Here is a 25,065-nt window from a genome sequence, read left to right on the forward strand (position 1 = left end):
GAGGCTGAAGCAGGAGAATTGCTTGAATCCAGGAGGCAGAGGTTGTAGTGAGCCGAGATCACACCACTGAACTCCAGCCTGGGTGACAGAGCGAAACTCTGTCTCCAAAAAAGAAAAAGAAAAAGTCACAAGAAAGAAGATTGAGGAGTGAGCCCTGGGAAACAACAATGTCCAAAAGGAGAAAGATGAGGAGGAGCAAGCAAAACAGAACATGATGAATGGACTAGAAAGGTAGGAGGAAAAGCCTGAGGCAGTGAGGTCCTGAAAGCCAAGTGAAGACGCCGTTAGGGAGGAGATGTCCTCCATTGCCTCAAATATTGCTGACAGATTAAATAAAATGAGGTGGAAGAAAAGTGCCTAGATTTATTACAGAAAAAAATTAGTGATAATCTTGAGGAAAAACGTTGGAGGACTGCTGAAATTGAAGACTTACTGGCATGAGATCAAGAGTGAATGAAAAAAAAATTTGAGTTCGTGAGTGTAGACAGTTCTTTTAAGGACATCATACTTAGGAGTCATGGCTGAGAATGTTGTAATTTTCTTCCACAGTCATGGAAAAGTAATAGACAAATAGTTTCAAATTTTACATAACAGGTGTAGTTTTCAAATTTTATATAACAATTACATATTTTAAAGCTTATAAAAATTATACACATTTGGCATTAAAAATGCCAGACCAAGGTGTTAAATTCTTAAAACTATAGAACTAAAAGTTGCCTTGACCATTTCTAGATTACAGAAGCTGATTATTATTTTGTTCATGCTTATACATAAAGACCAAGAAAAACTAAAAGCTTCAATGAGAGTACTTCTTGCTTGATAAAAATCAGCCAATTCTAGGACAGTTGATACTCATCAAATATACAAAGTAATTGATCACTGTAAAATACTGAGTTCTATTAACAGGAATAAAGTGGCAGAAATGCAGAAAATAATCTTATTTTACAAATGAAATTTTAAAAATTATATGACATCACTGTGGAAAAATATGGTGAGGTGAATACTGAAATATATCCTTTTCTCAAAGGAAAGATAATGTCACACATGCAGGGCACTTTTACAAATAAGTGTTACTGCATTAGCAGCACCTTCCTTTTAGCACACGGGTCAGCAAATTAGCACCTGTGGGCCAAATCCAGCCCACTGCCTGTTTTTGTAAGTAAAGAATCTTGGAACACAGCCATGCTTATTCACTTTACAGTCCATAGAGTCAATTAGCTGGGTGTGATGTTGCACACTTGGGGTCCTAGCCAGTAGAAAGGCTGAGGTGGCAGGATTACTAGAGCCCAGAAAGTCAAGGCTGCAGTGAGCTGTGATCACACAATTGCACTCCAGCCTGGGCAACAGAGACCCTGTCTCAAAAAAAATAAATATATATAGTCCACAAAGCCTAAAATATTTACTAAATGGCTCTTTGCAGAAAAAGCTGGCCAGCTCCTGGTTTAGCAGATGAAAGATACTTTGATATATTTTAATAAAAGTTTCACCCAATATACTCAAATGTTTATATTAAATATAGATCCCCATGTACAATCCCTTGGCAATATTCAGATTGAAGGTCCAATATTTCGGCACTCAGGCACTGACAACAAAAATTTAATAACTAGCAATCTTGTTGCTAACAAGGTACAGTGTCCATGTAGCGTGTAGCTTCCATTTGCAACACAGCAGATATTACAAGAATTCTAACAAAATTATCTTAAGATGTGTTACCAAACTAAATGCTTTAAATACATTTTAATTGTGAAATAATCAGTATACTCTAGATCTAACCTCATTTGTAAAAAATGGTTGCATACTGCATTATTTTCTGGGTATGAAAATTGAGCTATTTCCTATTGGTAAGGATTTACTTTTGATAATGATAAATTCCTATTGATAAGGATCCATCTTTTTATATAATAATGCTGTAAGGAATGTCCTTACACATAAGTATATATGTGACAAATCTATACAAATATCCTTAACATACCTACATATCCTTACTATGTTATATATATGTGTGTGAATATGCTACTAAATTAATGTTCAAAATGTATTTACCAACAGTGTATGAAATGTCTTTTTCAATGAGACCATTTCCTTTGCAGCAACACACATGGAGCTGGAGGCCATTATCCTAAGCAAACTAATGCAGGAACAGAAAATCAAATGCCACATATTCTTCTTACTCATTAGTGGAAACTAAACAATGAGAACTCATGGACACAAAGAGGAGAATAACAGACACCAGGGTCTACTTGAGGGTGGAGTGTGGCAGGAGGGAGACGACCAAAAAACTACCTCTCGAGTATTTTGCTTATTATGTGGCTGATGAAATAATCTGTAGTCCATACCTCCATGATACAGTTTACCTATATAATAAACCTGCACATGAACTTCTGAAGCTAAAATAAAAGTTCATTAAAAAGAAAAGAAAATGCCTTTTCCCTCACATTTGCCAATGCTGGTTATTTTTCAAATAAATTAATGACTGGAAAAAACAGTAACTCATTGTTTACTGATTTTCATTTTTCTGATTAACAGGCAAGGCTGAATATTCTAGTAAAAGTATAAAATTTGTTCATCATGAATATTAGCCCAAATTAGGATTAGTTTGACAGCATATAGTTATCTCCTATTAAATGTTGCCATAGGCTTACCTGTGATACTCTTCATTCTCAGTGTCAGGAAATTGCTGATTTTCAGGTTTTCTGCTCCTCCTTTGTGGAATTAATCCATCATCACCATTGCCAGCACTGGCACCATTAGTCAGGTTTTCTGGTAATCCCACAGGATTACTTCCATGCTTCTTTATTTCTTCTTCAACCTTGAGTGGAAGTTTGATATTAAGGATGGTTATCACTTTATTGAATAAAAATAACCTTTTTAATTGATTTTATCAATTGACTCAGTTTGCCATTATTTTAGTCATTAAAAATATCTCACACTTAAATTTGATCATATATACAGAACTATTACCGTATAATTTTAAGATGTAATTATCATGTCATTAGTATATCATTGAAATTTTTGTAAAGTCTTCTTGATTGCTGTTTGACTGAATAAAACAGAATTTTCCAAAATTCAAAAAGGGCCCTCCTTCATTTTGTGCTTTTATTCCCAAAAACTCTTCAGAATCTTATATATGAATTTACCCCATTTGACTCGTGGGAACACAAAAATAAAACGACATAGACACAAAATGTGTCTTCTGTCTTTACCACCTAGATTTTACATTAAACACTCAGATGTAGAGGATGAGACACTGGGGGACTTCAGGAATAGAAAGGAAGATGGCCCTTTTCTGCACTAAGATATTCTCCTCCCCCACTGCCTTTGATCGTTCTTTTTTCGTTTGGTTCCTGGATATCAAAAACATGATGGTGCTCACTGAAACATGAAAACCAAAGTTTGCCACAACACAAGGAGCAGAGTGAAACTGCTGAAGTGCAAGCGTGGAATTCCAGAAAATTAGATGCTCCCCAAATTTCACATTCAATAGCTATACAATTTTCCAGCTGGAAGTTACAAAGAATAAGTAATTATCTTCTTTAGCCACATTATCTAGTGATAATCAGACTAAAACCAAGAAAGATAAAATGATTGGTCCAAAGCTCCTAAAGTGGCATTACCTAGCATTTTATGGCACCATTCAGGATTGTTCCATAATAATGAAAGAATCTCTCTAGGGTTTGTATCTCTTGAAAACTCAATGTACAGAACTCTTTCTGAGTCAAATATTAAATTTTTCACTGGTGATTTATGCTACTTACATGATAGGATCATGTATGCCTACACTTACTACACTTTGTTAAACAGCATAACATAAAAATCTAATTCAACAGAAACATTTGAACATAAAGGTATACCTCTCTATCACAGTCCTTATTTATTTCTGGTTCTTGAGACATTTTCTGCAGATGCAAAAATAGAAGGTTAATTTGCTTGTTGTATTTCCATGTATGTCTCCTCTTTTGGAATGCATGTTAAAATAATTTTATTCTTAAGTAATCAAGTATGGACATGAAAAATTAGAAAATAAAATAAAATTTAACTGTTAAAATAATTAAATAAATAAATAATTAAAATTAAGAATTAACTTTTTAATCTATGTTTAGCTACTGCCACATCATTGGCTTCTGACTAACATGTGAAAAATAATTCACCTCAGACAAAGGGAGAATAAAAACATCAACCAGCAAACTTAACTTTGTTACCATTTGTTTGGACTAAACTTAATTTGTTATGTGTTAAATCTACCAAAAATGAATTAGCAGATGATTTGTAGTGTTCCAAAGGCTTCCTCACTTGAAAAGAGCGTATCTCATGAAACCCTAACTAGTGAGCCCTTGTAGTGCACTGAAGTGCTTTTTTAAAAGATTCCTAATTGGATTGTAGGCACGCTTTAAATTATTAGGAGCTGAAATCAACACCAAACAGAAAGAAATGCAAATTCTTAAATTTTAATTGAAATTATATGCTGTAATATGATAGTGTTATGTATCTAGATGATCTGCTTAAGTCCAGTTCTAATATATTCTAAGGTGTACTAATTATAGTGGATAAAATTTTTTTAATAATCTGTACTGATTTTCTGCAACTAAAATAAGGTAGAAGGTTATTGTGTTTGTGCACTAACACCAAATGTCCCATTCTGCAAGATATGATTCTTGTAATAGGCAGTTGGGTTGCTTTTATGACCTGGTTTCCTCCCTGAGCAGAAATGCTGAAGTCAGTGAGAGACCACAAGGCAGAATATGTCTTTAACCTTGGTATCAGTGACTGACAATATAAAACTGCAGATTTTCAATCACTGGCCGTGATTATTCTTCAACCATGAATCCAGCTCAGGGACCTTCAGTGTTACATTGTTCATAGTTCTATTGCTTAATAATATAATCCAATAATTGATGTTACTTTATCATGTTAGGGTGTTGTAAAAATAAAAGAACAAACAAAGGTCTGGAATATGTTTTTGCCTCTATTCCAAAAGGAAAGATTAGCTATAAGCTAATCAAAAAGGCAGATAAGAATATTTTAAATAAGAATACTGTAAAATAAGAGTATTTTAAATTTTATAGTGGTTATGTTTTTAAGCTAAATATCAAATGTTAAATTAGAATTTATTGATTCTTCTGTTAATGAGATTGCTGAATTTATTAAAATAAATTTTAAGAATCTTATTAAAAAATTCTTAAAAAAAGAATCTATTGATTCTTAAAACCTAGTCTGAAAGGTAATTTCATTTGGACTATCTAATATCGTTAAAGCAAAGAAAACAACATTAAATCAAAAATTTAAATTTAAAATTTTCCATGCCTCTGGCTGGCTATTTTCACTGACTTTAAGCCTTTGTGACTCTTCCTCTGATGTTAGCTTTAAGTCTTGTTCTGTTGAGAAATCCATATATTCAGTTAAGATGAACCACTTAGAACAGTTAAAAACTATTGCCTTTATAAAAACAGATTGAAGACAGCATTTTATTTTATTTCATAAATTGAGTGTTTAGTCTTTCATGAAATAGTTACTTAGGAAATAATTCTCCAAAACTTCAACAAACCACTTGGGGAGACACCTGATGTGATTCACTCACAAATTCATCCACCCCACATAAATGAACAAAACCACCAGAAACACAACTTTAAAATACAGTAGAAACATATAAGGTAACTCAGTATGTTGTTCACTTCCTAATAGTGAAGCAGGAAATGTAAAGAAAAGAACATTTAGTTTTAAAGAGAAACAAGTTTTCCTGCACTTAGCTACTCTGACTCTAAGGATAGTATCAGGCAGGGCCCAGGAAAGGTCGTGGTTACCCTGTCTGAGAAGCCAGAGCCCACAGGTATGGGCTCCAGACATCCCAGAGAAAAGTTAAGAAAACAAATTCCTTTACCATCTCCCCTCCCCCTCAGCATTTATTCATAGCTATTTTTACAAATGCATATATTTTGCAAATTCTTGTTTTCCTTCAATGCAGCTGCAAGGTCACAAGCTATGCAGTGGTTGCAAAACTGTCACTATATGATTAACTGCCTTTGTTCTGCTTCTGTAAGTTTGCCTATATAAGCCAAGCCCTGTCTTTGTTCAGGGCTCAGGTTTTTGATGCAAATCCGCTGAGCTGGTGTGCACCTAAATACAATCCTCTTGTTTGACCCACTGGGTCTCTCCTGCCTCCTGTTTTCTGCAAAAATAGTATCTTACAAATGATTTCCAAAATTACTACTGACACCTTTGTTAGTGTACAATGTCTTCTTAACATCTAAAATGTTTCCATCCACTATTATGACAAATTTATATTCATTTTTCTTTTTTTTTGTTTTTTTGTTTGAGCCAGGGTCTTGCTCTGTCACCAGGCTGGAGTGCGGTGGCACAATCTCAGCTCACTGCAACCTCTGACTCCCTGGTTCAAATGATTCTCCTGTCTCATTCTCCTGAGAAGCTGGGATTACAGGCACACACCATCATGCCCAGCTAATTTTTGTATTTTTAGTAGAGATGGGGTTTCACCATTGGCCAGGATGGTCCTGATCTTTTGACCTTGTGATCCACCTGCTCCAGCCTCCCAAAATGCTGCAATTACAGGTGTGAGCCACCACACCCAGCCTTATTTTCATCTTTTAAAACAATGCTATGGGAAGTCTTCCTTGATTCTGCAGATCTTTCCCCAGATAAACAGGTAACTCCTTCCTTGAGGTAGCCTTAGGACCTCACTGATTTTTCTACTGCACCTTTACCACCTGAACTGTACATTATTCTTCCACAGGTCTGTCCCCTCTACTCCAAGACTGCAGAGGACAGTCTTGCACATCATCTTTGTAAAAACAGTCTTTATTTTACTCAGAAATTTCTTATTGAGACCTGCTACATACATGCTAGGTGTTAGGGTTTAAAAAGAATGAAAATAAAGCCTGTCAGGGATGGCTTTTCTAGAACACCTGCCCAAGCAGAGACTCAAATATTGAGGCTAGCTAGATTAAAAGTGGTAGAGGGCAAGAAAGGGTGACAGCATGCCACACAGCAGCAAGAGCAGGAGCGAGGCCTGAAAGAGTGAAAGTATTTGCCTGCAATAGAAGGAGGAGTGAGTAGGGCATTAAGAGCCACTCAGTAATGCCAGAGAAAGGGCACACAGGGAAAAGGGCTAACGATGTAGAGTAGGGCAGAAGTCAGATTATGAAAGCCTTATGTGTACTTTTAAGATGCTTAGACATTAACGTTCAAGAGTGGTCCCTGGTCCTATCTGTATTTAGATGTAGATCATTTTAATGCCAAAACCAATATTCCTAGTGAGCCATTATTCATTAAGACAAGGTGACAGCTAGCTCATGTGGACACAGCTGAGATGATACTACGTAGCAAATTCTTAATAATTCTCATGAACACTTGGAAAGTCAATTCTATAATAAGTCATAGAAATTATAATAAATCACTTAATATTTGGGAAGGTGCTTTATAAAGTTATAGTGTATATGAATATAACTAATAGTTGTGAATTCAGAGCTGTGACAATAAAGCAAAAAATCACACTGTGTTTGAGTCAGCAATATTTAGATTTCTATCTAGTCTTCCTACCCAGTCCATAAATTCTAAGTATAATCCTAGTACTCGCTCTCAAGTTTAAGTTAAATGCTAGCCTATACAAAAAACACTCTTTCTCTTACTTCTTTTTTGTTATTTATATGTTGCTTTGTTTAAAGGAAGAACAGAAAAATGCCCTGCTAAAGGGATTCTGTTTGGCTGCAGGCTGCAAGAGGGGAAAAACACAAAGCACATTTTGCAGAAAATGATTTTTTAGAAGTCAGAACTATGACATGAAGTCAAGCAGGGCACTCTAGGACTGACTTTGCTGTGCTTCCTTAATATGCTCCTTGCTCTCTTTCTTTTCTGGAAGCTGTGACTCACACAGGTCATGGAGAAAATTTCCTACTCCTTCCTCATGTCCAGGTTAAATACTAGTGTACAACGTGGAAACCTGTAAATTATCTGACATTTCTCTCTGTCCCCCAAACCTTTCTCATTCAATTATCACTAAATCATATTGACTATACCTCTCTTCTTCCTCTGCTTTATATTACCACTGCCACTGAGAACATAAACATTTACAAAATGGCTTTTATTACAAACAACCCTTCCAACTATTAATGTTATTTCTTACATGAAAAAAATTAAGCAAAACAAATGAAAAAAGCATAACACCAAAAAAAGGCCAACACATTAAAATGAGTAACTGAGATTCCAAACTTTATTTTGCCATGGGCAGGTGAAAACCTTAGAATACATTGATACTAGTCCAAGGGTGTGTGACATGGAAACTATAGCTGACTACTGCAAAAGCTTCCTTTGTCTCCTGGTTTCTTTACATGGTTATCTTCCCTCAATCCCAGCAAGCTATAGGCCACAGGCCAAATCCAGTCTGCCTTTTGGCTTTGTAAATAAAGTTTTATAGGAGCTCAGTCATGCCTGTTTGCTTACATATAATCATGGTGGCTTTCACACTACAACAACAGACAACAGCCTGGTTAAGTAGATATGACAGAGACCACATAGTCTAAAATATTTCCCACCTGGTCCTTTACAGAAAAAGCTTGCTAACCCATTTTACACCATAAGCAGAATATGCCTTAATACTCAAATTTAATCTTGTAACTTCCCTGCTCAAATTTCTCCAATGAGCCCCTGCAGCACACATTGTTGGCTCCCTATCAATAGCCATTCCTTATTCTTTCTTGCAGAAGAAACACAAGTCTATTGGGATATTTATTATCCCAATCCCCCTCCTCAGCCTCAGAAAGAGAAATGTTTATTCTAAGTTAATCATGTATTTGCCTTCCCAGTGCCTGGTTTGGGAATGAGCATGTGGTGTGACCCAGCCAATGGAATGTTACAGGAAGCCCCTTGCATGCTTCTAAGTTTTCTCCCTGTTTAAAAGACACATGTGAAGAAAAGCAGCCCTTGAAATGTTGTGTTGTGAGAACAAGATGTTTGGAGCTGCTGCGGATTAGCCAACCATGAAAGGAGACATGAATAAAACACTGCCAACAGCACAGCTGAAAGAGGGACAAGTGGGATCCTAGGATATCACTGAACAACCAAAACAACTCTGGTTCCTACTGTTTTAGCCACTGCTCATCTAGTATTTACAGTCCAAAGCATTGTACCTGGTAAATTTCCCGTGGCCCACAGGGTAAGACCTACTCATTTCTATAGTATTTAAAAAGTCTATCATAAACTTGCCTTAGCTAAGTATTCACCTTATTCCCAACCTCTGGTGTCTCACACTTTTGGTACTAGCAAAAGTGAACTGCTCAGAAACCCTGCAAGGTTCACTCAGCATCTTGCGTTTTGCACTTGCTGCTCTTCCTGCCAAACAGGCAACCTCATTAGATGTTCTTCTGGCAAACACACAATCTTGTTGCATGTTCCTTCTGCCAAACATTATTCTTCTGCTTCTTTACCTAGAAAAATTCTTCTCACTCTGCATGCTTACCTTGAATCATACCTACTTTTTTTCAAAACTTTCATTCCTCATCACATATGTCTGGCACATAATTAATATATAATAAATCATTATTATAAGCTTCCAGTGGGCATCGAGCACACAGTAAGCACTGAATAAAGTAGTAAAATAATAAAAATGACAATGATAATAACAAGCTCCTGTCTGTATTTTTAATTGTGTGTGTTCTGTAACATTAGAAAAATGATTAGTATCTAAAGGACATTTAATAGTTATTTGTTAAGTGGACAAGTGAAAACATAGAAATGTTTTCTTTGTAAATTCTGTTGAAAAAGCACAGAAATGAAATAGAGACAGCTCTACTATGAGCACCTTAAGGATCAAAACTACATCTATTCCATCTTTGTCTCCTGCAACTTATAAAACCTAACTTACAGAAGCTTTTTGATAAATAGATGGCTAAATTAAAGGTGTCCTAATACAGTTTGGATTATACAATGTATTAGGTGTCCACAACCAGGTGGCATACTAGTATTTTTGTTAATGTGAAACATTTTTCTACTTTTATTATAATCTGCTGAGCCTAGAAGTGGGCAATTTGTATATTTATTATGACAATCTTTTGGTAAATGGTAGCAGAGCATCTTGTTCTAACAAAATTACTGTTATCAAGACAATTGACCAGCAGGTAGAAGAACACATCTTGTTCCAACAAAGTAAATGTATCTCTTTCCAACTTCAAATGAGGAGGAATGAAGTCAGTAAGAGTGAGACCTTGTTGGGACAAGGATATGTAACATGACTTGTGCTTTGGCGTTCTTTTGTGATCAAAAATTCCTTACTTTTATTTTTTTATCTACGGTAGGACCACCCAGAGCAGGGGCCCACAACTCTCAGGTCACAGACTGGTACCACTCCATGGACTATTATGAACCACACCACACAGGAGGAGGTGAGCAGCAGGCAAACCAGGGAAGCTTCACCTGTACTTACGGCCACACCCCATGGCTCATATTACCGCCTGAACTCTGCCTCCAGTCAGATCAGTGATAGCACTAGATACTCATTGGAGCATGAACCCTGTTGTGAACTGCTCATCTGAGGGATCTAGGTTGTGTGCTTCATATGAGAATCTAATGCCTGATGATATGTCACTGTCTCACTTTGCCCCCAGATGAGACCATCTAGTTGCAGAAAAATAAGCTCAGAGTTTCCACGGATTCTACATTATAGTAAGTTGTATAATTATTTCATTATATATTATGATGTAATAATAATATAAAGTAGCACAATAAATGAAACATGGCTGAATAATCCTGAAACCATCCCCACCTTCCCCCAGCCCATGGAAACACTGTCTTCCACAAAACTGGTCCCTGCTGCCAAAAACATTGTGGACAACTGACCTAAAGTAATTCATTATCACAAGTCTTACCTGGATTGCTGTTTTCAGAAGAGATTTTTAGCATCTGTTTTTCTTTATAGTCAGAAAGTAATTCACAAATTCTATGTATAAAAATGTAATAAACCAAATTACTATTTTAATACTGATATAAAAAATACTTACCAAATGTAAAATTCTTAGAGTATTTCAAACAATATCATAATATCAGAATTTAACAGTATTATCCCATACACTTATGAGTACATTCTACAAACTTTTCTTTAAGCTTCTAATTAAAGCAGAAAAAAAATTAGGTGAAATGCTCATAAATCAAGGGCACTGTGACCCAGTAAATCAGCATGCATTAGCATGACATTATAGAAAGTGTCCCAACTCTGCATAAGTCCTAGCTCCATAATGAACAGCTATTTGTTCTTGAACAAATTTCTTCTCTTAGGCTCAATGTCTTCTTCTACAAAGTGAGGACTTTGCTGCCTTATTTCACTAGGTTGTTATAAAGATTTAACAAGGTAACATTTTTTAAATGCTCAGAGAAATAGTAAAGCAATGGAATAATCTGTTCCTAAACTTTATGACTAAAATTATCTTGGAATCCCAAATAAAACCCCATGTGTATTTTGTTCATAGGTTCTAATATGCAAATGCTGTAGTTTTCAGAAAATGTCATTAAGTCCTAATTTTGCTTCTTAGTTGTCCTACTCCTTATGGCTTATAATTCAGGGCATCTCAACTGTGTCATAGTTTGTAACTAAATTTTTTCATAAATCTCTCATTAAAGTAGATAATGTGATTGTCCACTATTACGGAGTTGACCAATTTGTTGTGCTAAGGGCAGAAAAACCAATGGATGTTAAGACCTGGCTTGGAGCAATGATCCTTCTCTATAGACTCAAACTCTGAGCCAGCAGATGTTTGTTAGGATAATGCTTTATATTGATGTTCAATTCCAGCTGACATGGGAGACCAAAACTCTACTTTTATTTTTTTCCGTTTTCATGAAGAAGCTGCAAATTGACATTCTCTAATTTTTGACATACATACTTATAATATATTTTGCATCGAACACATTATTCAGCTCTAAATCATCTCACAGACCATCTTCCATGACTATTTTTGCAGCACAAATCACATTTCGATATTTTGGTGGCACCCATTTTGCTTTGATTCACACTGTTTCCTTAGAGCTAGTCAGCAAATAGTGAAATGATCTTCCAGTGACTGCACAAAATATGGAATGCTTCAAAGAGTTGTGCTGCCTCCTTATGCAGAAGCCATGCTAACTTTCTCTGTATTGTTCCAATTTTAGGATATGTGCCGCCAAAGCAGGCACAAAGCCCTACTTTTACACATGATTTGTGATGAGTCATGGACAAGGCTTGGCTCTTGTCCATGACTCATCACTACTTACTTAACCTACTTGAGATTCTGAGAATTCTCTTCAATGGCTTCCTGTGAGGTACAATTTGAAAATATTTTAAAATCTTGAGCTAGAGATGGAAGTAGCTTGGATGATTTTCATTATCATGTAAATCAGATCACTCAAGGGGCCAACCACAGCTGGGAGCCACTGCTTGGGGAAGGCTCATATGGGACTTTCTACTGCCTAAGGTTCTACACAGGATATAAAGGTGCCTCACAGTATAGATCTGGTAGCAAAGAAGAAGAAACAAACACTGATCTCTTTCTGCCACATTATTTGAACCCCTCTGACCCTTTATAACAAGCCCACCTCATATCTGCTAGAGAAAAGACCAACAACGGCCTGAAAGGATCTCTTACCATGAAGGTCTCAGCTCATTCTTGGCTAAGATGTGGGTTCCACATTAGGTTCTGAATACAGGAGGAAGGGTCAATTTGCTCACTTTGTGTGCGGATAAAGTCAGGATGCCCAGCGGCCAGAGCAGGGTGCTGGTGCTTTGGGAACAATGGCTGAGCATATAAGCATAGGTAAGGGAACTAAAAAATGTTGTAACTTCAAAGTCACTGTATGAATCCCCATGAAGACTTGAGGGATCTGAATCAGTAAGGGCATCTTGGTGTCAAAGGTCAACAATTACCAGGCAGCAGAACCAGTTTGAGTGGCAACAATGCAGCAACAAAAACAATGGAAACAACAGAATGATTGGAATGTCCTTTTTTTTCTCCTCCTTCTGACTTGATAAAAGGGACTGTCTTCCTTGGATTTAGTGAACCCCTTTGGTTCTTGAAAAATTCAAGGAGTATGTAGGAGATAGTCCCCAGAAGACAGTACAAGACTTTCTGCTAAACTGGACATTTCAAGACCCAAATAACTAATCAGAAAAATCAAAGATGTGATACTCTTTTTTATCCCATGCATAGGTGTTATACTTGGATGAAATGAACAATATTGGGATCTCTAAGGATAAAGGTCTTAAAAGTCCTGAGGTAAAGAATCCTGCACCCATTGGTACTTCTAACTTGTCTTGCTTTTTGTCTGATTTCTGGCTGATGCAGGGGACTAACTCACTGCCAATCTAAAACTACCTGAACCAAACTATGACATCTCACCTGATATGTAAGATGCAATTGTTATAATTATTTTAAACCTCAATTTAGCATTAACTAGCCTTTTCATGTAAACACTTACACATGATGATGACTAGAAACAGCATACTCTCTGGCCGTCTGTCCAGATAGATCTTGAGAAGATACATCAACATTTTGCTCAAGGAGAAGATTGACTATACTTGCTGATCCACAACATACAGCAAGTATGAGGGCAGTTCTAAAATTACAGAGATAATTTCTCCTTTAGGAACTGTAATAAAGTTATTTTAAAAGCTAATTTGATATACTTTACCAATTTAACATCTTGCCTGTCCATGCAGAATCAAACATTTACATGCACTAAAAGACATAAGCATCTTGGGTGCTCAAGAGTTCATCTTTGTAAAATACCACCAAGGTTAAAAGGAAGGGACAAAAAGGAAACCTCTTATCTCAGTGGGGTATTGCATAGCAGAAGCTACTAATTTAAAGTCCTTTGATGGGCAAGAAACAATGCTAGGGCCACTTATCTGAAGTGGACAAAGATTTAAGTGAAGATTTTGTCACAGCTTCCCTAGACTGATATGCTGTAATAGAAAATTAGCTAGGGGGTAAGATAAATAAGAGCTCTCTGCATGCTGAAAGCAGTAATATTAATAATAATGGTAAGAATAGTAGTCACAGGAGTTTCAGTTAATGATGCCAATAAGCATGTGCTACACACTGAATTAAATGCCACATGTATCTTTCTTGCTTATGCACAGCCAACTTTGAAGGATATATTCTCCTACTTTTCACATATGACAACATATTGGGTGGTAAATAACGTTCCCAATGTCACACACGTAGCAAGTAAGAAAGTTAGGAATTAAATCCAGTCTTGTGTGAATCCAAAGCCTAGCTCTTTTCTCTCTCTTTTTTTTTTTTCCATGCCCAGCTAGTTTTTTTTTTGTTTTTGTTTTGTTATTTTTTTTTAATTATACTTTAAGTTTTAGGGTACATGTGCACATTGTGCAGGTTAGTTACATATGTATACATGTGCCATGCTGGTGCGCTGCACCCACTAACTCGTCATCTAGCATTAGGTATATCTCCCAATGCTATCCCTCCCCCCTCCCCCCACCCCACCACAGTCCCCAGAGTGTGATATTCCCCTTCCTGTGTCCATGTGATCTCATTGTTCAATTCCCACCTATGAGTGAGAATATGCGGTGTTTGGTTTTTTGTTCTTGCGATAGTTTACTGAGAATGATGATTTCCAATTTCATCTTTTCTCTTTATCACCCACCTACAGCTTGCCTTCATTAAAGGAAAAGTGTATCCACTTAAAACTATCTTCACTCCCTCTCTCCATACCAACTAAAAATAAAAACATCAAAATACACTGGAAATAAAGAAGAAAAAAAGCTGTTGAACCCACAGTATGTGGGAATAGCAATTAATTGTCATGTGGCGATAAGCTAACATTAATATTCTTCAAAGAAAGCAACTTAAAGCAGAGTCGTTGAAAAGATAAAAGGATTTTCAACTCCTATTTATGTTTAATACAGCATATTTAGTGGAAAAACATATAAGATACAGAGGTTAAAACCTACTAGAAAGGGTTAAGAAGTTCAATACTGAGTCATAAAGTAAACTGAAAGTTAAAGTTCAAACTTCATAAAATTAATATGAAATCCCTTTAGCTAACATAAGATCATGTAACCAAAAACATCATACAACAAATAACATCAGTCAATATAATAAGAGAAGATGAATCCTACTAAAACAGTTCTTTATGTTGCCCAGTCCAAATAATTGCTTTTCTACTTAACTGATTTGTGTTGATACTGATCACTATGTCCCAATAAGTATAATTTAATCTTATTAATTTATTATTTATGACTTGAGTGACTGCTATCAATCTAGAACAACACACAGATTAAAAGAAATAACCATACCTTCCATATCTATCAAGTGCATTTAAATTAGCTTTTTTCTTGATTAAAAATTTCACCACTTGCTGTTTTTGTTCATGTACGCCAAGCAAAAGTGGTGTGAGGCCACACTGTAAAACAATATAAAACAAAAACAATATGTAATTCAAAAAATTATGTATTTCTCAACTGAACTGGAAGCTTATGGACTTACACTCACAGAAAGTAAATAAAATTTGGTCACTTCCTTCTCACTCTTCTGTACTTTCCCACATGCCACTCCTTCCCTTGGAAACATCCCTTCTCTGCCTCACCACATTAAATCTGATCATCTCAAAAACTCACTTTAACATTTACTGTTTCCAAGACTCTTTGTTTCTAAACGAGCATTTGGCATGGCACTTTTGGATGATTTTTTTTTTCATTTAAACAAAAAGCTTCTTGAGGGCGGGGGCTGTATCTTTTATCTCTATATTATCCAACCCTAAGACAAAATTGTTGTGTATAAAGCAAGAATTTGAATGTAAAATATTTCTTTAGTTTCACATGTTTTACCAAAGTTCAAGCTCCAACGTGCAATAAATATTGCTATTAATAATCACACTGCCCATTTCAAGAATTTTTCCAACATTTATTCATTTAAAATCTATTTGTATTTAATTTTTCCAGATTGTTAACTAGATAGATAATCAGTTCATAGGATTACTGAAACTAAGAGATTTCCTATCTGTATTCTTAATAACTCCATGGTTTTTAGTGTTTAAACCTGCCATCCTGATTAAGCCAAAGCTCTACAAACTTAAGAGACATACTGGATAATACAGCTTCAATTGAAAAAAAAGGTTTAGAATTTGCTACAATTCTGAGAAAACTCTGCTCTTAAAAACGACTTACTGACCTAAGCACTTGAATGATTGAACAAAGGGACACAAAGTCCTGAGAGAGCCATCCTCTACTTATTGGAAGACTACTCACTGCAAATTTCTAAAGACCTTCTGAATGGCAGTGAATAACTGATGGTAGAAAGGAAAAGCTATTATTCTGTAAGCTGATAGATAGTGCCAATAATATTCATTTTAATGTCCCAACGACAGAGATAAGTCAGACTAGGCCAGGAATGGTGGCTCACACCTGTAATCTTAGCATTTTGGGAGCCTGAGGTGGGTGATTCACTTGAGCCCAGGAGTTCAAGATCAGCCTGAGAAACATGGCAAAAACCTCATCTCTACTAAAAAAAAAATACAAAAACAGATTGGAGGACCACCAGAGCTTAGGGATGTCAAGGCTGTGGTGATCTGTGACCGCATCACTGCACTCCAGCCTGGGGAACAGAGTGAGACCCCATCTCAAAAACAAACAAAAATTTAGATTAATGTTATTGGAAAGGAAAGATTTAAAGGAATTAGCACATATCCAACTCCAACTCTTCTAGAAATATCTGAAGTTTCTGAGATATAAGAATTTACATATTACACTTATGTATTCAGTGGTTAAGCAGGAGTGTATCCGGATTTTGAGAAATTTGTTGTTGTTGTTGTTAGAGACAGGGTCTCATTATGCTGACCAGGCTAGACTAGAACTCCTAAGCTCAAGCAATCCTCCCACCTCAGCCTCCCTAGCAGCTGGGACTACAGCCATGCACCACCATGCCTGGCTTCAAGGAAACATTTTTAAACATACATATCCAGGCTTTATTAGACTTACTCTATCAAAATCTTCAGGGGAAAACCTAGACTTGAAGATTATTTAAAAATTTTCCTGAGGTAACTGGAATGCACAACTCTAGCTGGAAGCTAGTGCAATAGACAATTATTTCAGTCTCATCTCTCATCCACATAAACAATTCCCTTTATCATTTGAGGATCTGGCCAAAAAGAGGAAAGAGTAGGAGAGAGACTCATTTGCTGAAAACACCACAAAATTTTCCCCAGTAAGAGTAGAACAAGGTCTAGTAAACTCAAAATCCAACCTGATCTTTTTACTTATAAGCCTCTTATCTCCCACCTTCCCATCAAGACATTCTAGAATTGAAAGCAGAGTTGAGACTCTAATTGGCCATTTCTACCAGAATAGGATACTAAGTTGGTTAATTACTTGTTATTCCTTCTACTCAAGGGTTTCCCACTACATTACCACATATTCACTGCCAATCTGGTTCCTCAGAGGCCTCCTAAAATTTATCTCTAGGCAGTTTACAACCCACTAACTCCCTCTCCCAAACTGAAAACTGTCATTCTCTAAAATGGAAAAGAACCCTGTCTCACCATATAAAGGAAACGAATGAACAACAATAACAACACACACACACACACACACACACACACACACACACACAAAAAAAAAAAAAAACAAAAAAAAACCTCTTCATGGTCTTTTCCCCCATTACCTAATTTCCAAGTTGGCCTTGATATTTCTGATTGCTGCATTTTTCCCTTTCCACTTCTGCCTCATGAGCAATCAGAAATATCTTAAGCCTTGCCACTGAGAGATACATCACCTCATATCTATTAGTGTTTTTTTAGGAATTTGTCAAAGTAGCAGGATTACTATTCACTGAAACATGTTTAAGTTTTCTTGGAGTTTTAATGTAAAACCTATTTCCAGGGCAAATTTTGTCATTTTACATTCGTTAGGGAAAAAAAAGTTGGCAGGGAAAAATTGAAAAAAAAAAGTATTACCTTTTACAAATTCAGTGTTTTTTTTAAAAAAGCATTAACCACAAGTGCACTGAAAAAACTGTACCCTCTAATGCTTCTTTAAAAGTAACAATATTTAAAATAAAGTCTTAGATAATTAAGTCATTTCAAAATATTTTCATTCAGGTTATGCTTGAGCTTCCAAATACGGAAAACTGGCCCTTACACAGGTCAATGTTAACACGAATGCATTTCAGTATTTTGAAGATAAAATTGGTAGATCTATACCTTGTTTTTTGATTCAATATCAGCACCATATAAGAGCAGTGCTTTGGCCATTAATTTATCTTCATTGTGGACAGCATAGTGTAGAGTGGTATTTCCATACTCATCTGGAATATTTTGATCAGCGCCATGTTCCAGCAACATTAACACACATTCATCTTCCTGGCATTGTACGGCCTGTCAGTATTAGACCAAAAACAAATTATTAAGTCCTAGGAATTCAAAATAACATTCCACAGCTTTCACCAACTAGTTATATTTAAATGAGAAAACTCATTTTTATGCTATCTATTGAAATCAAACCCATCTCACGCTGATATAGTTGACTACTGCATACCTTTATCAGAGCTGTCCTTTTTTTGTTGTCAAGGACATTAAGTTGACATCGTCTGTCCAGCAGGAGTTGTACTACTTCTGAATTTCCATTGGCAGAGGCCAAATGTAGAGCAGTCCTATGAGAGTGAGAAGACTTCAGGAAATTGTAGTGCACTAGCTAATGCCACATTAATGATTCATGTAGTTGCAAACACTGAATAGCCTATTACTCTGCCTTCAAAACAAACTCAATTTTCCTTTGAAGAAAGCACACTACTTATTACCTCTCATTACTCACTGTATTAATGAAAGAGCAGCCTATTTGAATAGAAAGAGCACAGCTCTTGGATGACATTCAACTTGGGCTGGAATCCTACTTGAAGCTCTGTCGCTTCCTAGCTGTTGCTTAGCCTTTTTGTGTCTCAATTTCCTCATCAATAAAATGGGAATGAAAATAGTCAGTTTCTCAGAGGAAACCACTGTAATGCTTAAATAAGACTCTACACAAAATATAGAATAGTTCCTAACACAAATAACAGCTCAAAAATTGTAAGATATTATAATTTTTACTAATACCACTAAAGACAACATTTGAATTAAGTGAAACGATACAATTAAACCTACACTTTCAGGTACATTTTAAAGATTACAGGTAGCGCTGTACTGTATTTTATTGAGTCTAAGATGGTCATTGTCTCCATGTTTTAACATTTCTTACACGGAAATACCACTTATAATTCATGATTTACTATAATTATAATTGGCAGCATTTAAATAATTTTCTTAGTGAGACATAAAATACAATCCCTGGTGCCTTACATTAAGTAGAATATGTTATAATATAACAGGTCTGGGGCAGTTCCAGTCAGATGACTAGCATTTAGATAAATTTTAGTTCTTAAAAGAACTATGGAATAAGAGGGCTGAGGTGAAAACAAAAACAATTTTCTAAAATAATCTATTTCTTACTTTGGTTTTCAAAAACTTTAAGCCAAAGAAAACTTGAAATTCAAATGAATAGCATGGGCTCATTTTTTTCAATACTTAGATTTATAAAATGTATGTACATCAGATATTTCTAATCATTCATATTAGGATTTAAGACTGTTATAAATTTTCTCTTTTTAAAATGGATTTATGAAACTATTTGTGGAGCTTTTTTCAACTTTTACATTCGGGGATACAGGTGCAGGATGTGCAGGTTGGTTAACATAGGTAAACGTGTGCCAAGGGGGTTGGTTGTACAGATTATTTCATTACCCAGGTGTTAAGCCTAGTACCCGTTAGTTCTATTTCCTGCTTCTTTCCTTCCTCCCACCCTCCACCCTCTGATAGGCCCCAGTGTATGTTGCTTCCCTCTAGGTGTCTGTGTGTTCTCCTCATTTAGCTCCCACCTATAAGTGAGACCACGCAGTATTTGGTTTTCTCTTCCTATGTTAGTTTGCTAAGGATAATGGCCTTCAACACCATCCATGTCCCTGCAAAGGACAGGCTCTTGTTCTTTCTTTTATGGCTACATAGTATTCCATGCTGTTTATGTACCACATTTAAGTTCTTAAAACAGCTAAAACAGTCTTTACCCAAGCCTTATACATTTTCAAAAGGGCAGTTAAGGGTTATCTTTCACTATTTTCCACCTTCAGAAATGCTTTTGTTTGAAAGCAGGGAGGAAAAGCTTCAATTGAGATTAAGTCCTAATGCCCCAATTTTGATTCTCTCAGCTTGCTCAGGCGCAGCAGGTAAACATGAAGTTTTCAAAGGTGGAAGGATCCTGAGAGATGGCAGAATATGCCTGCCATATAATAGGTGTCTGGCTTATGTTTGATGACTAAACGGATTGAAAGAATGGATAAACATAGGTTGGAAGTTCAATATTTTTAAAAGAAAACTCCTGTTGAGTAGAGCAATACATTTGTGATAGTAACGATCATTTATATTTGCTATTTTAGTTTTCATAAATATATAACTAAACTAAAATAATTAATCCATACTATTTACACATGTTAATCTATATATAATGAAAGATAATTATATAATAAAATGTATATACAATAAAATCTACCAGAAGAGGTAAACAGAAGCCCTCTACTTCTGAAGAGGGTAAAAGTTCACAGAAGATAGCCATCCACAGGTATAAAAATAAATAATAGAATGTGAGAAATTATTTGTATCTATGCAAGTAGCATATTCCTTCTCTTCCCAAGTATTATTTCATTACTAATGAAACTTAACTAAAACTTTTCAGATGTTCATTGCAGAAATCACAGATAAGAGAAAGGGAAAAACTTCACTTACAAATCCCCAGAAATAAGTTTGATTATATTTTCCACATATTTCCAGCTAACACAAGAGCAGATTCTGTTTGTGTATATGTATAACAAACTGATTTTTTCTCACTTGATATAGCAAAGTACATCTTTGCATGCCGACATATCTCTGTATCTACTGACACCCTCAATGGTTACATATTATTCCATCCTATGGATGCACTAAAATTTGTTCATAAAATCTTTATATGAGTTCTCAACACATGGCTATTTTAAGCAATACTAAGAAAAACAGCTGTGTCTGTTTCATATAGATATTTCAGTATAATGGAATAGATGGGTAAAAGGCATACACATTTTAAAAATGTGGTTCTTACCATCAAAGTGTCTATTTGAAAAGTCGCAGCAACTTAAACTTTCAGCAAGTAATATAAGTACCACTGTTCTTCACCCTCACAAACTTTGTGGACAGAAAACAGTATTTCATTCCTCTATATTTATTTATTTATTTTTATTTATTTATTTTTTTGAGATGGAGTCTCACTCCATCACCCAGGCTGGAGTGTAGTGGTGCAATCTCAGCTCACTGCAACCTCCGTCTCCCTGGTTCAAGCAATTCTCCTGCCTCAGCCTCCTGAGTAGCTAAGATTACAGGTGCATGCCACCATGCCCAGCTAATTCTTTGTATTTTTAGTAGAAACGGGTTTCACCACGCTGGCCAAGCTAGTATCAAACTCCTGACCTCGTGATCCACCTGCCTTGGCCTCCCAAAGTGCTGGGATTACAGGCATGAGCCACCATGGCTGGCCTTTCATTCCTCTTCTAACTTAAACAGAAAATAGTCTTTCATTCCTCTTCTAACTTAAATTCCTTCTCTTAGCAGGAATGCTATGTTTTCCTATGTGCACAGGTCACTGGTAGACATGCAAAAAAGTACCTTGCCCAATTTTAAATTGAGCTTATTTTATTATATCTGCATATATATGCCGGTTTCAGAGGCTCATGACTGTAATCTCAGCACTTTGGGAGGCTGAGGTGGGTGGATCACAAGGACAGGAGTTCAAGACCAGCCTGGCAAAGATGGTGAAATCCCGTCTTAAGAACACAAAAAAGTAGCCAGGCATGGTGGTGGGTGCCTGTAATCCCAGCTACTTGGTAGGCTGAGGCAGAGAATTACTTGAACCAGGAACCAGAGGTTGTAGTGAGCTGATATTGCACCACTGCACTCCAGCCTGGGCCATGGAGTGAGAGTCTGTCTCAGAAAAATAAATAAATATTTGCACATATAAATAGGCATTTGTGTTTTCTTCTGGTACTTTTCTCCTTTTGTATCTTTAAAATTTTTAATCTATACTCCAGGAACTTATTTTTGTGACATAAAAATCTAGGTAGTTTTCTCCAAACAGCATGCATTTAATTTATGAATAATTCACCTTGTTTTACCAATATGAAACATCACCATTATCAAGTGCTAAATTCTTACATATATTTGGGTATTTCTGGATTTCCTATTCTGTTCTGTTCATTTATGTCTTTTCAGCTGTTAGTAAACAATTTGTGGAAATAACACATGCACATTTTGATATCTGGAAAAGCAAGTCTTTTTCCATTCTGTTACAAAAAATCAATTTATCACAATGATAAAATACATCATGTGCAATTTAAAGACACTAAGACTTTGCTATTTTTATTTGGCTTATGTAAAAGTGATAAACACAGAAAAAGCTCACATCTTAAGAAAAACGAACCTTCCTATTCAAAGATATGAACCATACTTCCCATTTCAGTTTCCTTTTAAGGTTACTCAGTAAAGAACGTATTTACATAGGGCACATCGATATAAAATCCATATTGGATTTTATTTGAAAAATATTTAGCCCAGAAGTTGATATATTATGGGGCTTAGTTCTCAATATACACCTTTCTATAGTGTATAGAACATTGTTTTAAAATGTGTACATTAAAAATAATCTGCTGCATTGACTTAATTTTGCGAGTTAAATCACTTTAAAACCGTCTATTAGTGTTCTATAAGGGAAATTATAATTGGATTGAAAATCAGCTAACATTTTTTGTGTTGCTGTTTATAAAGGGACCTGGGCCCTGACCTCTCTGAGGTTTCCACACCCAGGGTGGTGTGGGGCCTGCGGAGGAAGAGAAAGCCTGGCTCCTCCCTCCCTGCGCCAGGAGGGTATGTCCCCATCATCCCCCCATGTCCCGCCTCCTCCCATCCCAGGCCCAGTTACCTCTTTTGCTTGTCCCTCTTGTTCATGTCCGTGTCCCTGAGCATGACGATGAGATCCTTTCTGGGGACCTTACCCCACCAGGCAGCTCTGTGGAGCTTGTCCAGATCTTCTCGACGGACGTGGTACCTCGGCTCCATGAAGGCGCTGTCGTCGTAGTCTCCCCAAGCGCCCACGTTGCTCTTGCCGCTCCCCCTGCAGCAGGGGAAGCAGTGACAGCACCACTTGCCCATCTTGCTCCTGAGCGTCTTCATAAAGGAGTTGTCATGGTCTCCAGAAGTGCCCACGTTGCTCGTGCCGCTCCCCCTGCAGCAGGGGAAGCAGTGGTGGCAACACTTGCCCATCTTGCTCCTGAGCATCTTCATAAAGGAGTCGTCGTGGTCTCCAGAAGTGCCCATGTTGCTCTTGCCGCTCCCCTTGCAGCAGGGGAAGCGGTGGTGAAACCACTTGCCCATCTTGCTCCTGAGATCGAATGGCTTCTTCACAGCAGAGGCAGCGGGCATTGAACAAACCTCAGTCACCATCTGCTTTTAACAGCCCGGGGAGGCCGGTAGTAGCGAACAGATCGCGTCTACCAACCAGTTTCACCAACTAGCAGGAAACCCTGGGTTTCCAATCTGTTTGAAGAGAAAGGTCAATCCCAGCCAAAACTTGCCAACCCCAGCAAGGGAGCCCAGTCCACCCCACCCAGGGAAAACCCACACCCACCCGGGGAAAGCCCACGCCCACCAGGGGGACCCAACGCCCACCCCAGGAAAGGCCAAGCCCCCCCTCCCAAGGAAACACCCAGCCCAGTCAAGGGAATGCCAAACCCAGCAGAGAAAAAGTCAAGCCCAGCAAAGGAATGCGAGGGAGGAAACGCCAATCCAAGCAAGAAACACCAGGCAAAGCGACTAACGCCAAGCCAAGCTAGGAACGCAAGGCCAAGCGAGGAACGCAAAGCGAAGCGTACCCGTTACAGGTAAGCCAAGCCGTTATGCGCGTGCGGGGCGCGCGTGCGGGGCGCGCGTGAGGCGTGCGCGCCTCAGACGTTACGCGGCGTGCGCGTGAGGCGTGCGCGCGTCATTGCACGTGGTGCAGGAAGTGGCCGATGTGTGCAATCCGGGTGCGCAAGTCTTGGCGCCACAAATGTCAGTGACAGCCTTGCGTTACTGGCAAAGTTCATGGGAGTTGGCCCAGCTTTCGGGCCACTGAGGAGAAGCCTGTGGTGGGAAAAAGCCTCTTGAAGCAGGACTGGGGCTAGAGCGCCTGGAACTCGAAGATGCTGACAGCCTCCTCTGAAGAAAGCCCCCAAGACACTAGTGGTGGTGCTGTTGCGGGTGGCCGCCGCTGCAGCTTAGAGCTCTGGTTGGCGGAGCTGGATGCAAATGGCCTCAAAATCTCCGAGCACAAGACGCCCACGGAGCCCAGGGCCTGCCTGAGGCGCCTTCCACACCTGCTCCTCCTTGGTCCGCACCCAGAACACAGGGTCATCAGCAACGGGGCACTCGGGGCCACAGAATCGGGGCTGGGCTGCTAGCTCCTGCTGTGGTGCCCCCTGCCTGGTGTCCAAACCAGGGCCAACAGCTGTGGGGCTTCTGGCCCGGGGTGCTTCGCTTCACTGGCATGCAGTAGGGTTGAGGTGCAGGCCGCTGTCTCCAGGCCTGCAAGAGGGAGCTGGGAGGAGCACCTACCACTGATGGGGAGATGCAGGAAGGCACCCCCACGTGCAGATCCTGGGAACAGGACACTGCCAGCACCAGGGAGCCAGATCGGAGCCTCCCTGGCAGCCTGTGAGCTGGACCCAGGCAGTGGCACCTCGACCCTCCTGCTGGGACCCTCCTGCTGTGCAGGCTTATGTAGCCAGGCTCCAGGCTGCTTCACCCATACTGCAGGTGCTTTGGTGTGGGAGGAAAAATGCATTCTGGCCGGGCACTGTGGCTCACGCCTGTAATCCCAGCACTTTGGGAGGCTGAGGCGGGCGGATCATAAGGTCAGGAGATAAAGACCATCCTGGCTAACACGGTGAAACCTCATCTCTACTAAAAATACAAAATACTAGCGGGCATGGTGGT

At 38.0% G+C, this 25,065-nt stretch overlaps 1 protein-coding gene and 1 pseudogene across 2 annotated transcripts in view; both read right to left on the reverse strand.

Annotated features, from left to right (window-relative positions):
* POTEC (POTE ankyrin domain family member C) overlaps nucleotides 1–23,989 on the reverse strand; it is a 36,262-nt gene extending 12,273 nt beyond the window's left edge. The window contains exons 1-9 of one of the 2 annotated variants that reach the window (NM_001137671.2): nucleotides 23,015–23,989; nucleotides 18,524–18,638; nucleotides 18,190–18,363; nucleotides 15,290–15,396; nucleotides 13,450–13,587; nucleotides 10,872–10,942; nucleotides 5,302–5,372; nucleotides 3,852–3,896; nucleotides 2,643–2,809 (exon numbers count right to left, since the gene is read on the reverse strand). In NM_001137671.2, coding sequence (NP_001131143.1) covers nucleotides 2,643–2,809; nucleotides 3,852–3,896; nucleotides 5,302–5,372; nucleotides 10,872–10,942; nucleotides 13,450–13,587; nucleotides 15,290–15,396; nucleotides 18,190–18,363; nucleotides 18,524–18,638; nucleotides 23,015–23,535 — 1,409 coding nt within the window. In that variant the 5' untranslated portion in view covers nucleotides 23,536–23,989. The remainder of the gene's footprint in view (nucleotides 1–2,642; nucleotides 2,810–3,851; nucleotides 3,897–5,301; nucleotides 5,373–10,871; nucleotides 10,943–13,449; nucleotides 13,588–15,289; nucleotides 15,397–18,189; nucleotides 18,364–18,523; nucleotides 18,639–23,014) is intronic. The other variant, NR_134878.1, reaches the window with a different exon arrangement.
* RNU6-1021P (RNA, U6 small nuclear 1021, pseudogene) lies at nucleotides 12,065–12,171 on the reverse strand (annotated as a pseudogene).
* Nucleotides 23,990–25,065: the final 1,076 nt, after the last annotated feature.

The sequence above is a fragment of the Homo sapiens genome, chromosome 18 (genome assembly GCF_000001405.40).
Source record: "Homo sapiens chromosome 18, GRCh38.p14 Primary Assembly".
Taxonomy (NCBI): domain Eukaryota; kingdom Metazoa; phylum Chordata; class Mammalia; order Primates; family Hominidae; genus Homo; species Homo sapiens.